At 44.8% G+C, this 13,963-nt stretch overlaps 1 protein-coding gene across 1 annotated transcript in view, besides 2 other annotated features; it reads left to right on the plus strand.

Moving 5' to 3' along the window:
* PFKFB3 (6-phosphofructo-2-kinase/fructose-2,6-biphosphatase 3) overlaps positions 1-13,963 on the plus strand; it is a 181,717-nt gene that overhangs the window by 166,510 nt on the left and 1,244 nt on the right. The window lies entirely within an intron of this gene.
* Positions 2,955-3,455: an enhancer, noted in NCBI's record as "H3K27ac hESC enhancer chr10:6356348-6356848 (GRCh37/hg19 assembly coordinates)". NCBI's record gives its function as "activates a minimal SCP1, AML or CMV promoter by ChIP-STARR-seq in primed H9 embryonic stem cells {active_cell/tissue: H9 hESC(primed)}" and the evidence as "EXISTENCE:reporter gene assay evidence [ECO:0000049][PMID:30033119]".
* Positions 3,456-3,956: an enhancer, noted in NCBI's record as "H3K27ac hESC enhancer chr10:6356849-6357349 (GRCh37/hg19 assembly coordinates)". NCBI's record gives its function as "activates a minimal SCP1, AML or CMV promoter by ChIP-STARR-seq in primed H9 embryonic stem cells {active_cell/tissue: H9 hESC(primed)}" and the evidence as "EXISTENCE:reporter gene assay evidence [ECO:0000049][PMID:30033119]".

A 13,963-nucleotide genomic window follows, 5' to 3' on the forward strand; every position in this document is an offset into this window, starting at 1 on the left:
CCAGCAAGCCACTACAAATTATAGTCAAGAAATGCTTTGTTGGCTGGGCCCAGTGGCTCTCTGGGCCCAGCACTCTGGGAAGCTGGGGCAGGCGAATCACTTGAGGTCAGGAGCTCGAGACCAGCCTGGCCAACATGGTGAAACCCCGTCTATACTAAAAATACAAAAATTAGCCGAGTGTGGTGGCGGGCGCCTGTAATCCCAGCTATTCGGAAGACTGAGGCAGGAGGATCACTTGAACCCGGGAGGCGGAGGTTGCAGTGAGCCAAGATTGCACCACTGCACGTCAGCGTGGGTGACAGAACTAGACTCCGTCTCAAAAAAAAAGAAAAAAGAAAAAAAGAAAATGCTTTGTAAAGGCAAACCCACAATGGTGTGCAGTAGTAATACCACTGGAGTTGCCTGAAAGTGTCGAAGTCAGGCATTCCCTGAGCTGGGAACACTGCATTCCTCTTCATCTGTCCCTATAAGGTATAAAGGCTGCAATGTCAAACCAGGTCCCTGAAATAGCTCCAAGAATCACACGTTTCTGCAAGTAGAGGCACAGACTACATTTAAAGAGGGCCTTGTTCATAAGAATCGGGGGCAGGAATAAGTGCCAAATGATGAAGGGAAAATGACAAAGTAGCCAAGTAGCAGGTTACAGGAAAGCTCTGGGGGTTGATCTCAGGGGTGGCAAGCGGGGCTGTGCTTAGCTCTGGCCTCCGGGATTGTCTTGGCTGTCTGTCGTCATCTCTTGGAGGGGTCCTGATTAGGCGGACAGGCTTCTGTGTGGAGGGCTGGAAAGCTTGGCTGAACTTTTCGGTAAAGAACACAGAGGTAGGATTGAAAGCTCCTTTTCTATCTACCAGGATAATTTGTATCTTGGAAGAATAAAATATACATTTTTTTCCAATTTGTTTTTGCCTGGGCTCTTTCTACCTGTCCTCATCTCTCACCACTGTCTCTCCATCTCGGCTCCAATCTTATCTGAAGTTTCAGCTCTAATGAAATACCTACTGTCAGCGGTGTGCCAAGAATGGGGCCGTGTGAGCCATCTGCCTGGGGTGCAGGCAATAACAGGGACACTGCCCATAGAGAAATTTAAAAACAATCATAAAATAGGCTAAAATCTACTTTTGCCATGTGCTGGCAATTCTAAACAATGTCAGCTACTAAACACACCTTCCAGAAAAAAGATCTCTGGTTGGTATGCGTTCTAAACAACTGCTGGGGTGCTGGCCGAGTTTTAATGATATGTTAAGGTTTCACATTAGCAGATTTTTATTAGTCATTTGTTTGTAAATATTGTTTTCTATATGGAAGTAAATTTGGAGACCGGCCGACTGCTCACAGTCAACTTCCAACACATGTCAACTTAGCTATACGCCCTGGTTTCAAGAGCAAGCCGTTAATAGTTCAGAATCCTTCTAGCTGACTTTGCACATAGTGAGAGCTGCATACTCTTCTGTTTAAACAGTGGAATCAAATAAGCAATGATTATCAGTGACTGGAAAAGAAACAGAACTTGAGTTATTTCGCTTTGCCATCCCCTGTGACCACCTGGAATTTCTAAATCAGTGTTTAAAATTTAAACTGGTGAAACTGTATGAACTGGGGGGTAGAATACTTTTGTTTGGCAAGAGCAAGTTTTAGCTCGCATGAGAAATCTCTTACTAAATGTGATGATAGCTTTAACGTGAAACTGCTTTTTAATTATTGCTTGTTTGAAAACAAAAGGACAAATCAAGAAATTAAATGTCCGTGACATGATTTCATAGCTGCCTACCTTTTACCTTTTGCAAATGCTTTGATTTTATTGCCATTTACTGCTAATTTTTGTAACTGTCTGATTAGACATGAGACACACAAAGTTTGATAAAAGGAAAATGCTACAATCAGCAGTTTTACTCTGGCTGTTACTATCATTCATTTAATTTCATAATTATCACTATCAGTAGTTTATGGAGGGAGATGGTGTTAAAAACGACCTGCCCCAGGTGCCGAACACGCTGGGTGCTGGTTGCTCAGTGTGACCGGTTGTCTCCTGCCGAGCTGCTGTTCCTTCAAGCATGATGCTTTTCCCCTTGTAAGTTCCTGCTCCCACTTTGAGACTCAGTTCACAGCCCCTCCTCTGCCAGACTCTTCCGATTCCATCTCGCCTAAATGATCGGTTTTAATTTCCCTTCTTGCCTTTGTGCATTAGTTTATCCTTGCATTGGCTGTGCTGCGGTTTCATGATTTGTTAGTCTCTTTCTGCCTCTAGATGATGAGCTAATGGAGAGCAGAGATCACAGCTCATTCATCTCAGTGTCTCCAGTTCCCAGCCTAATCCCTGGCACATAATGGGTGCTAAATCATCACTCTTGGAATGAAAGAAGAATGATGTGGCTCTCAATAGCTATTAAATTAGGCTTGGCTTGGAGACTGTTCTTTACGCTAAGTTTTTTCTGTTTTGTCAGCTCAGCGGCTAACACCCTCTCCACAGGTGCTCCCCCTGCCGCTGCCTCGCACACCTCAACACTCACCCTAGCGCCAAGGTGGTGGGCAGAGGAGGCAGGCAGGGGACAGGTATGGGTGAGGATACAGAGGAATGGGACGCGAAATCCAGACTTCTAGAAACTGTGCAGCGTCCCTTGACATCAAAGCAAGGGCAGTCACTGTTTCCTGAGAAGTAAAGCTTAGGATGAATTTACATTGCCTATGAATAGAGTATTCCCACTCCCCAAACCATTCTATATGTGGGAATAATCTAGAAGCAAAAAGGCCAAAATGATTTCCTCTTTTTACTCATTCCATTAACTTTGGTTTAATTGAATACCTACTGTGGTCCAGCACGATTCTAGGGTCTATGGAAAATACCAGGAAAGAGGCACATGTTCATTGCAGAAAAATCAGAAAATGGAAATAGGCAGAAAGAAAGTTTTTCAAAATGCCCATAATCCCATCACCCACAGATAATTGCCATTAGGATTTAGGTAGAGATCTTTTCTTTGTCTCTGTCTGTGTCTGTGCATATGTGTGTGATCTATCAAAAGGAACCATAATACACATTCTGTTTTGTGATGTAATTTTCTCCTAATAACGTATCATGGCATCTTTCCATAGTCCTATGTGCTCTTTACAGTATTACGTTTAGCAGCTAATATTGCTCTGTGCCATTATATGATGACTTCTTCAACCCCCCACTCTATTATTGGACATTTAAGTTGGTTTTAAACTGGCTTTTACTGTTAAGAACCATACCTGTGCTGTTTACAATCATGAATCATTCACTGAGCAAATGCTGAACAGTTTCCTTAAGATAAGTGTCTGGAAGGGGAATGGCCGGGTCGAAGGGTAGGAACTAACGAGCTGCCCCTTCTAGACAGCCTGACGGGAAGGGCTCAGCGGAGTTTGTGACGAACCCATCATGAGAAGCTGATGTGGAACTAGGGATCTCCTGGGCTGGGTCCTACCCCAGGACGTCTCTTCTCTCCACTCTGCATTTTTATCCGTCCCAGGAAATGACTGATGCCACAGCTCAAAGGGGCATGGCCTTGAATAGCAGAGTCCAGGCAGGAAGCATGGCCAGAAGCCCTGCAGGGACTCTCCCTCACATTGCTCACTCTGTGGTTAAGGAGGAAAAGCCTCCCTAGAGGCTACCAGCTGACTCTCTAAGTGGCATTCACCAGACCCAGCCCACCTGCCCACCCCTAGGCCAAACAGCAGTGAAAAGGAATGAAACTGCCCTGACTGGTTGACTTTAACCCTGGCTCATTTCTAGGGACTTGGCACGAACTGCCTGAATCCAGTCAGGCTCCTTAAACAAACAGGGGAGGGAGAGGGGCTGCCCAGCGGTGAATGCCATCCCAGAGTGCGCATGAAACTGTTACAGAAAAAGGTCCAGATCCAGACCCCAAGAGAGGGTTCTTGGATCTTGTGCAAGAAGGAATTCAGGACGAGTCTGTAAAGCGAAAGCAAGTTTATTAAGAACGTAAAGGCCAGTTGCCTTATAGAATGTCCCACATTCTAGAGCTGCATGATTATTCTTGGAGGTGTCACTTAATTTGTTCCTCTGTCCCCGAGTATTTTCTTTTTTTCTTTTCCTTTTTTTGAGATGGGGTCTCTGTTGTCCAGGCTGGAGTGCAATGGTGCGATCTAGGCTCACTGCAGCCTCCGCCTCCTGGGTTCAAGCCATTCTTCTGCCTCAGCCTCCTGAGTAGCTGAGATTATAGACATGCACCGCCATGGCTGGCTAATTTTTCTGTATTTTAAGTAGAGACAGAGTTTCACCATGTTGACCAGGCTGGTCTCGAACTCCTGACCTCAGGTGATCCTCCTGCCTTGGGCTCCCAAAGTGTTGGGATTATAGGCGTGAACCACCACGCCTGTCCCTGTCCCTAGTATTTTCTGATTAGATTCAGAAGAAAGGCTTTTGGGACAATAGGTGATACTACATAATACATACTGTATTATACCATGTGGCTCATAATGTCAGGCTGTTTTCCTGTTGATGACAGTATATTTGATATATTTGATCCTTTAAGAATGGAATCCAGAATAGTTTCTTTCTCTTTCATTCCAAAAAGAACCATTACTACAAATCCATTTATATATAAGAGACTTTTCCTGAAAATGTGGGCATAATAGCATGGCTTATAGTGGAATACAGAAAAAGGAAGAGATTAAAACTGAGTATTCTTTCTGTAAGGTGGTGTATGTGTATGGAGACGTGGATTTGTGAGGTTCATGAGGTGGACTGTGATAGACGTAGACACCCACCTTGGATCCTCCTTCAAGAAAGGACTCACTGCCCAGCTGTGAAGAGTGTGGTTGGCTGAAAACCTCTAGGAGCTCCTTCCCGATCTGCCTGGGCTGTTGAGCTGAGGTCACACTCTTCTCAGGGGCACCTCGACCAATGTCAGAGCCACGTGGAGGTAGCTGAAGGCATGCTTTCACCAGGATGACCACCAAAGATCAATGACTTCAAAAGGCAATGGCACAAGAGCCTTTCTGTTTCTGCCCAACACAGGACATCCTGGGTTCAGGAAAAGTTATAATTTAAATATACATTCAAGCTTTTTCTTTTCTTTCCTTTTCTTTTTTTGACAGAGTCTTGCTTTGTCATCCAGGCTGGAGTGCAGTGGTGTGATCTTGGCTCACTGCAACCTCTGCCTCCCAGGTTCAAGGGATCCTGTGCCTCAACCTCCTGAGTAGCTGGGATTACAGGCATGCACCACCACACCTGGCTAGTTTTTGTATTTTCAGTAGAGTCCGGGTTTCGCCATGTTGGCCAGGCTGGTCTTGAACTACTGACCTCAAGTGACTCCCAAAGTGCTAGGATTACAGGCATGAGCCACTGTACCTGGCCAAGCTTTTTCTTACTATAGAGTGGGAGTGGCATCTTCTTCCAGCCTTCTGCATATGAGGTACAGTCTACCTTTGCTCTGGAACTCCCTGCTAGGCTGGAAGACTCTTGGCCAGGTCTGCATCATGGTGTGACCCTCCCCCTGCCCAATTGCATTTTGCAAGTATGACTCCCCAGTCCACTTTTTGTACTCCAAACACTGCTGCAGTCTTCTCCAGGAAGAACTCAACTGGCACACAGACTGTATGGAGAATCTAACTAAAATTCTGGCTCATTTGCCCAGAAAAAAACAACCATACATGGAAGCCCTAAATCCTGAATACAAGTTCAAGGTATTCATGGATGCCTTGAAGCCCATGGACCCCACCTGAAGAGCCCTGGGATTTGACTCTCCACCTGCACTTCATACTCCCATGGGGGACGTGCTCTTGATACTGTCAAGAGTTATAACTCTAGCAAGGGGCAATGGTTGCAATCTGGGCAGGACAACCATGAGAGGCAGTGCAGTGATGCATCTCCCTGGGTGGCAGGCATTCTCTCTCAATTATCCTTCCTCATTGACTTTGGTAATGAACCTTCATAAAGAGAAGATAAATTCTCCTGGGATCTTTGGGTCCCTGAGAAGCAGGAGAGCTGACATTGGAATAGAGAAAAGCTGGCATCTTAGGCTAAATGATGACTGAAAAGGGTGTAGGCAATTTTCAGGTTTCTTCCTAGATTGTCCAACTCAATCAGGGCAAAGGAGGGAGCAGGAAGTCCAGAAAATCATCATGTTCATGAAGAAAGAGTATGCATTTGTAGAGAGTTATTCATGAGTTTGAGCTCTCAGAGGAGCCGGTGGAGCGGAAGGCATTGGATGGGCTATCGTAGCAGGAAAAGGGGCATTTCAAGATCCTAAGGTCTAGGATTCAGGAAATTCAATCAATCAACACCTCATTATTTGTTTCTATCTCACCTTCTTCCATAAAGAATGATGATGTGTCCCTGTGTGGTCATGTAAAATGGGTTACAATTTGGAGACAGAGGCTGAGGGTGGAAAGGCTGAAGAAGCCATGAAGAAATTGTGTCTGGGACCTGCGGGAGGGGCAGACAGAAGACGCAATTGTGCGCAAAGACTGCGTATTCTCAGTAGCCAGTGATTTAAGTTTGGTGTGAAGGATATAGCATCTTTGGGAAGCAATTTGGTGATTCTCAGGAGGAACAGGGCTTTTTGACCAAATCAGTGTTACACAGAAGCAGCATGTGGTTGTGATACCAGTTCAGAAAACTATACATACATAACCTGAAAAGCGAAAGTTCCTTTTCATGACACCATGCCCCCTCCACCCTAAATTCAGTTCCCGGGAAATAGCTACTGTTAGCAGGGCTGTGTCTTTTGGATTTGCAGTGCACTCCTCTTTCTGGGAAGGCATGGGTGCAGGGCTCCTCCTGTGGGGAGGACCCCTTGCCCATCCATGCACCCATAGGGCCACCTGCTCCTTCTCAAGCTGCCCCTGGGAGCAGATGCATCTTGGATCACTGTAACTGGCTCCTCCGTGATGAGGACAACCATCGGAGTGGGGAGATTGGAGCATACACCACCAGCTTCCTTCTGTTGGTAGAAGCCCCATGACGGCCTTGCATTCTAAGGACAACCTGATTGGCTGATGATTTTATCCCTCGGAAACTCAGATATGGATGGAAAGTTGAGAGGTGAGCTCTCCTTCTTCCCCAGGGGGTAGAGGGGATCCTGTCCATTCCCGGAGCTGTGCTCCAGCCTCTGCCTGCACGCCCGAGGCTGGCCCCACCTCTGCCAATATCCATTGCCCTGTTTTGACTTGCAACAGAGATGCTCATTTTGCGCTTTTGCCTGACCACGAAGATTTGTCTGCTGCAGCTTTCTCGTGACTGATGTTATTTGCTCCACTGTGGAAAAATCCCAGGAGCCTCACAGATCAAGGGCCTAAAGGGAATCGTGTGGGAGGCCTCTGACACTTTGTGTAAAGGGGAAAAACATTATTCCCAGGAGGCAATCAGTCCTCGGGGTGGTGAACTCTGGCCACGGGACCAGCTCCGTCTCTGCGGTGAAATGAGGATGTGTCCTGCTGAAACATGAGTGGGACTTGCGAAGGTCTGGAGGCCAAGTCAGAATTTCCAGGCTGCTTCCATGGGTTCCACGGTCACCCTGGGGTCTGGTCCGAAGCCTGGCTTTTTCCCATTTGAGACTCACATTTTCCCATACCCTAACACGGAGGCTAGCACAGTGTCTGATACTTTGTGGACCCTTGATCAATATTCTCGGGAGGAAGACTTTGATAAATATTCTAAAAGTGCCTTATCTGTTCTAGATGCTAGAGATTCAGCAGTAAACAAAATGAACTAAAAATAGGACTACCATTTGATCACCAATCCTGCTATGCAGTATCCACCCAAAAGAAAAGGAACCACTCTATAAAAGAGATACCTGCACTCCTATGTTCATTGTGGCACTATTCACAATAGCAAAGATAAGAAATTAAACTAAGTGTCCATCAGTGGATGACTGGTTAAAGAATATTTGGTACATATACACAGTGGAATAGTACTCAGCCATGAAAAAGGATCATGTCTTTTGCAGCAACATGGATGGAGCTGGAGGACATCATCTGAAGTGCAACAACTCAGAAACAGAAAGTCAAATGCCACACATTCTTATTTATAAGTGGGAGCTAACTAATGTGCACACATGGACATAGAAAGTAAAATAATAGACATTGGAGACTTGGAAAGGTGGGAGGAGGGTGAGGGATGAGAAATTATCTATTGGGTGCAATATTCACCATTTGGGTGATGGTTACCCTAACAGCCCAGACTTCACCACTATGTCAAATATCCATGTAACACGTAACAAAACTGTAAAAATAATTGTAAAAATTATTTAAAAATTGTAAAAAATTGTAAAATTGTAAAAAAAAAAATCCCCTAAGTCTATAAAAATTAAAAAATGGACAAAAATTCTTGTTCTAATGAGTCCTAAAAAATTAACTCCCTTGATACATTCTCTTTCTTCCTGATACATTCTATTATCTTTCTGTATTTCTACCAATTAATTTGGTTTTATTTCCCTTCAAGAAATAAACAACAAAACATCTTGTTAAAGGGACCATTCTTGGTCAGGTCAATAAACATAAATGAACCTGGCCAGGCGCAGTGGCACATGTCTGTAATCCTAGCACTTTGGGAGGCTGAGGCAGGAGGATCACTTGAGCCCAAGAGTTGGAGACCAGCCTGGGCAACATGGTAAAACCCTGTCTCCACCGAAAAAATACAAAAAATTAGCTGGGGTGGTGGCATGCACCTGTGGTCTCAGCTACTTGGGAGACTGAGGTGGGAGGATTGCTTGAGCCCAAGAGGTTGAGGCTACAGTGAGCTGTGATCATGTCACTGCACTCCAGCCTGGGTGACAGAGTGAGACCCTGTCTCAAAATAACATAAAATAAAATTAATGAAGAATGCATCTTCTAAGAGACACAGCCTACAGTGGATAAATGAGGAATATGAAGCTGTAGTTCTCAGGAATCTCAAAGTCATTCCTTGGATGCTTTTGGCTCAACCTGGTTTTAAAAAAATGGAAAAATGAAGAAATGTATGAGCTTATAAAGGAGAAAATCCAGAGGTTGGGCTGACCTTCAAGGTAGCAGCAGTGGCTCATGGATGTCATGAAGAAACAGCTTCTTCTTCTTCTTTTTTTTTTTTGAGACAGGATCTCTGTTACCCAGGTGAAAGGGCAGTGGCACGGTCACGACTCACTGCTCAGCTTCCTGAGATCAATTGAGCTGAGACCACAGGTGCACACCATCATGCCTGGCTAATTTTTACATTTTTTCAGTAGCGACGAGGTCTCCCTATGTTGCCCAGGCTGGTCTTGAACTCCTGGGCTTAAGGGATCCTCCTGCCTCAGTTGCCCAAAGTGCTGCAATTGCAGGCCTGAACCACCACGCCTGGCCAGAAGCAGCAGCTTCTGTCTGTGTTCTTCACCCTGCCTGTTGCAGTGTTGACTTTAACCTAAAACTGGCTCTCATCACAGTTCTGGAACAGCTGCCAGTAGCTCTCAGAGCCACATGTTCCCTCATTTGTGCCTGACAGGAGAGAGGCTGGCTTTCCATGGCCTTCAGAGTGGGAAATCACCTTGCTGAAGGCCTCCAGTGAATTTCTGCCCAGTTCTAAATGGTGAGCGTTGGGTTCTGTGTCCATTTCTGAACCAACCACTGTCCATGGAAATAGGATGCCTTTTTACCCTGCAGTGGACATCAGTTCTCCAACTCATAAGGGAGGAATAGAACAGAAGTCATTCTGTACAATTTAAATGTAAAGTTGACCTTTATCCATCTTCTCAAAGCCTTCCCTCTGGGCCTGGTGGTCTCTGTGGGACAAATATTTTCCTTCTTCTCATTTCCCAGGAAGTAGAAGTAGGGTGTGTGTCCTCTCTCCTCCCAACTGCTGATTCCGAAACTTTTTGTTTTGCAAAACCCCATGCTCCTTTGAAACTGATGCCTTTATTCCTCCCTCAGCTGTGTCCTCGTCACCTAGTAAGTTCCTTGTCATGCCCATTCTCTGTTGTTTTTTTAAGTTCTCAGTTTTTCTTTGTATCCTTTCTTCTAATTTCATTCTAATTCAGTAAACAATCAAACAAAAAAGAAATATGTGACCCAACATTCTGCTTCTCAGTTTTTTCCTTTGTTTACTTTTTAAACTTCCCCCTCCAGTGTGATCCTTTCCTTCCCTAAACCCCAGCCATTGACCCTCATCATCTTATTCTGTGTCTTGTCATCAGCAGAAACTGCATCTCTTTTGGAATCTTGATTTTAAATGCCCTGTGTCCTGGCTACTACCTTCCCTCCTTCTTGCTAACTTCCTACTCTCCTTTGCACTCACCCAGCAAAAATCACTCACTCACCCAACCCTGGTTGAACCCAATGATCTACTTTCTTTGTGATTGGACTGAACTGCTGAATACTGTTTGAGAAGCTCACACTAACTGGCTTCACAATGAATTGCAAACCTGACTGATGGCTCAACTCTATGTAGAAATTCTGCAGTGCAACCCTGTAGGCATCCTAGCATCCAAGATGGCCTCATTACTGGCTGCTCCTTCTCCTTTGCCGATTCCGCCTCCACTTCCTGGTTTCTAAACAGACATTCCCAGGGCTTCCGCTCAAGACCTCTTTTCTTCTCTCCCATTCGTTCTGCTCTTTCCACCTCTATTCATTTCCATGAAACACCATCCATGTAACTGTGACTTCTAAATGTCTCTCTTTAATCCAGCGCTTTCCCCTGGGTGTTAGTCTGGTAAATTGTCTGTTGACATATTCAGTTGCTGACTCACAGGCGACTCAAACGGAACATATCCCATGTGAATTTCAAATCTCCCTTTCTGCTTCATCTAAAATTTCTCTTCCAGTGTTCTCTGTTTCTGTAGCTCGACCTTGTCACCGTCTACCCCCTTACTACAGCCCCAGACCCTCAATGTCTCCATTTTCCTCACCAGTCTTTTTCCTTTACACATTCGGCATTCGGCGACCTCCATGGATTCCACCTTCAAAAGAGCCATATCTCAAATCCATCTACCACTTTTCACCTCTGTCACCATCCCCAGGACAGTCCATCATCATCTCACCTGGCTCATGATAATAGAGTCCTAAATGGCTTCCCTGTGGCCACTCTTGACCACTGTAGTCCACACTTCACCCAGTAGCCTGAATGATCTTTGAACAATGTCAATCACATTATCTCACTTCCTTGCTTAAAACTTGTCAATGGCTTCCCACCATGCCTCAAATTCCAGTGCAATCTTCCCTTACCTCCCTCATTAGCCACACTGGCTCCCATCCTCCCTTGCTCGTGATGCTCCAGTAACACTGATGTCCTTTTCAGATCTTAGAATATGTTGAACTCTTTGAACCTCAAGGTCTTTAATGGACTTTCCTTTCACCTGGATTAGTCTTCTTTGGTCTCTTCTCACAGCAGAAATTTCTCATCTCTTGAAACTCAGCTTGAGTGTCGTCTGAAAGATGCCTTGCTGTCCACCTCCTCTAATGTGTGTCTGACTCATTATTCTCTGTCGTGACTCTTTTTTCCCATTGAATGAAACCTCTCATAATCCTAGTTATTTTATTTACTTGTTTATTGTCAGTCTTTGCCATTAGAATGTAAGTTCCATGGGGACAGACCCTGGTGAGTCAGGTTCACTGTTGCATCCCCAGGACCTAAGACCATCTGTTACATTGTCAGTACTTAACAGGTGCCTGTTGAGTGAAACAGATGAGTGAATGTGAATCCCTCTGTGGATCATTCATCATGACCTCGGAGGCCTTCGAAGCCTCACACAGGATATGCTCAGGTATTAGAGTTCTCCAGAGAAGCAGAACCCATTGGATATATCTGTATCTATATCCATAGATATATCAGAGATTTACTATGGGAATTGGTTTATGCAATTATGGAGGCCGAGAAGTCTAAAGATCTGTTGTCTGCAAACTGGAGAATCAGCAAAGCCAGTGGTGACATTCAGTTCAAGTACAAAAGTCTGGGAACCAGGAAAGCTGATGTTGTAACTCCCATCTGAGGCCGAAGCCTCGAGAAGGAAGAGTTTCAATGTCCATAGGCAGAAAGAGAGGGATGCCTCACCTCACTCTGCTCACAGGCTAGTGTCTTTGGCAGGTTCTGAACTCCTTTGAAAGTAGGGTTCTCATATCCTGTCCAGCCTCATGCCCCTTTCTCACTTCTTACCCTGCAGCGCTTAGCTCTGTGTTTTGCACTCCACATGTATTGACTATATAAATAATTTAACTTTTCTACTTTAGTGAAGAGGAAAAAAATTTTCACATACAGATTGAGAAATTTACTTCAACTGGCACACTTGGAGAGATGAGGATTTCAGGTCAGAATTGTTCACTCCGTGCCTCTCCAATACGATGAAAAGACCATCAGTATCACTTCACACCGAAGCCAATGACTGTTATCAAAAAACCAGAAAAGAGCATGTATTGGCCGAGATGTAGAGAAATCGAAACCCATGTGCATTGCTGGTAGGAAGGTGAGATGCTGCAGCTTCTGTGGAAAATGGGATGGTGGTTCCTTAAAAATGAAACAGAGGACTACCGCGTGATTCCGCCATTCTACTTCTGGGCATATACCCCAAAGTATTGAGAGCAGGGACATGAACACCAGTGTTCATAGCAGCATTAATCACAAGAGCCAAAAGGTAGAAACAACCCAAGGCACTTGTACACCCACATTTATAGATGTGTTATTCATAATAGCCAAAAGGTGGAAACAACCCAGTGTCCATGGATAGACAAAGGGATAAACAAAATGTGGTCTGCCCATACAATGGAATATTATTCAGCTTTAACTAAGAATGAAATTCTGACACATGCTACAACATGGACGAACCTTGATGACATGACGCTGAGTGGAATAAGCTAGATACAAACGACAGACACCATATGATTCTATTTACATTAGATTCCCAGAGTAGTCAAATTCATAGAGACAGAAGGTAGTATGGTGGTTACCAGGGCCAAGCTGGGGAGTAATAGGGGGTTAATACTTACGGTGAAATTCTGTAGTGGGTATAGACTTTCAGTTTTACAACAGGAAAAGAGTTTTGGAGATGGATGGTGTTGATGGTTGCACAACAAAGTTAATGTGTTTTGTTTTGTTTTGAGACTGTGTCTTGCTCTGTCGCTCAGGCTGGAGTGCAGTGGCGTGATCTCGGCTCACTGCAACCTCTGCCTCCCGGGTTTGGGTGGTTTGCCTGCCTCAGCCTCCTGAGTAGCTGGGATTACAGGCACCCGCCACCACGACCAGCTAATACTTTTTGTATTTTTAGTGGACACGGGGTTTTGCCATGTTGGCCAGGCTGGTCTCGAACTCCCGACCTCAAATGATCCACCCACCTCGGCCTCCAGAAGTGTTAGGGTTACAGGCATGAGCCACTGCGCCCAGCTGTTAATGTGTATTTAATGCCTCTGAACTATAGACTTAAAAATGGTTAAATGCCAAATTTTATGTTATATATATTTTACCACAATTTAAAGGAAAAAAAAAAAGAAGAGAGCATTGGAAGTAGAGCAGTGGATCTTAACTTAGGGCTCACAACTTCTTCGAGTTTTGTTTATAAAGCTATTACCTCTTCCCATAAATACATACATAGGTATATACAGATGCATACAAGTGTTGGCATATAATTTTTTTAAATTGAAACAGGATCTCCCTCTGACACCCAGGCTGGAGTGCAGTGGTGCAATCTTGACTCACTATAGCCTTCGCCTCCCAGGCTCAGGTGATTCTCCCACCTCAGCCTCCCGAGTAGCTGGGGTTACAGGCGCCGGCCACCACAACTGCTAATTTTTTGTATTTTTAGTAAAGACGGGATTTTGCTATGTTGCCCAGGCTGGTCTCAAACTCCTGGACCCAAGCAATCTGTCTCCCTTGGCCTCCCAAAGTGCTGAGATTACAGGTGTGAACCACTGCGCCCAGCCTGGCATACAATTTTTAAAAATAAAATGTAAGCACTCAAACTTTCAAAGTTAATAACATGTGCTTATTGAAAATGAAGAGCACGTGGAAGACAGAACTCAGAAGTCACCTGTAATCACAAGCAGATTACAT

This window comes from Homo sapiens, chromosome 10, assembly GCF_000001405.40.
Source record: "Homo sapiens chromosome 10, GRCh38.p14 Primary Assembly".
In the NCBI taxonomy this organism is placed as follows: domain Eukaryota; kingdom Metazoa; phylum Chordata; class Mammalia; order Primates; family Hominidae; genus Homo; species Homo sapiens.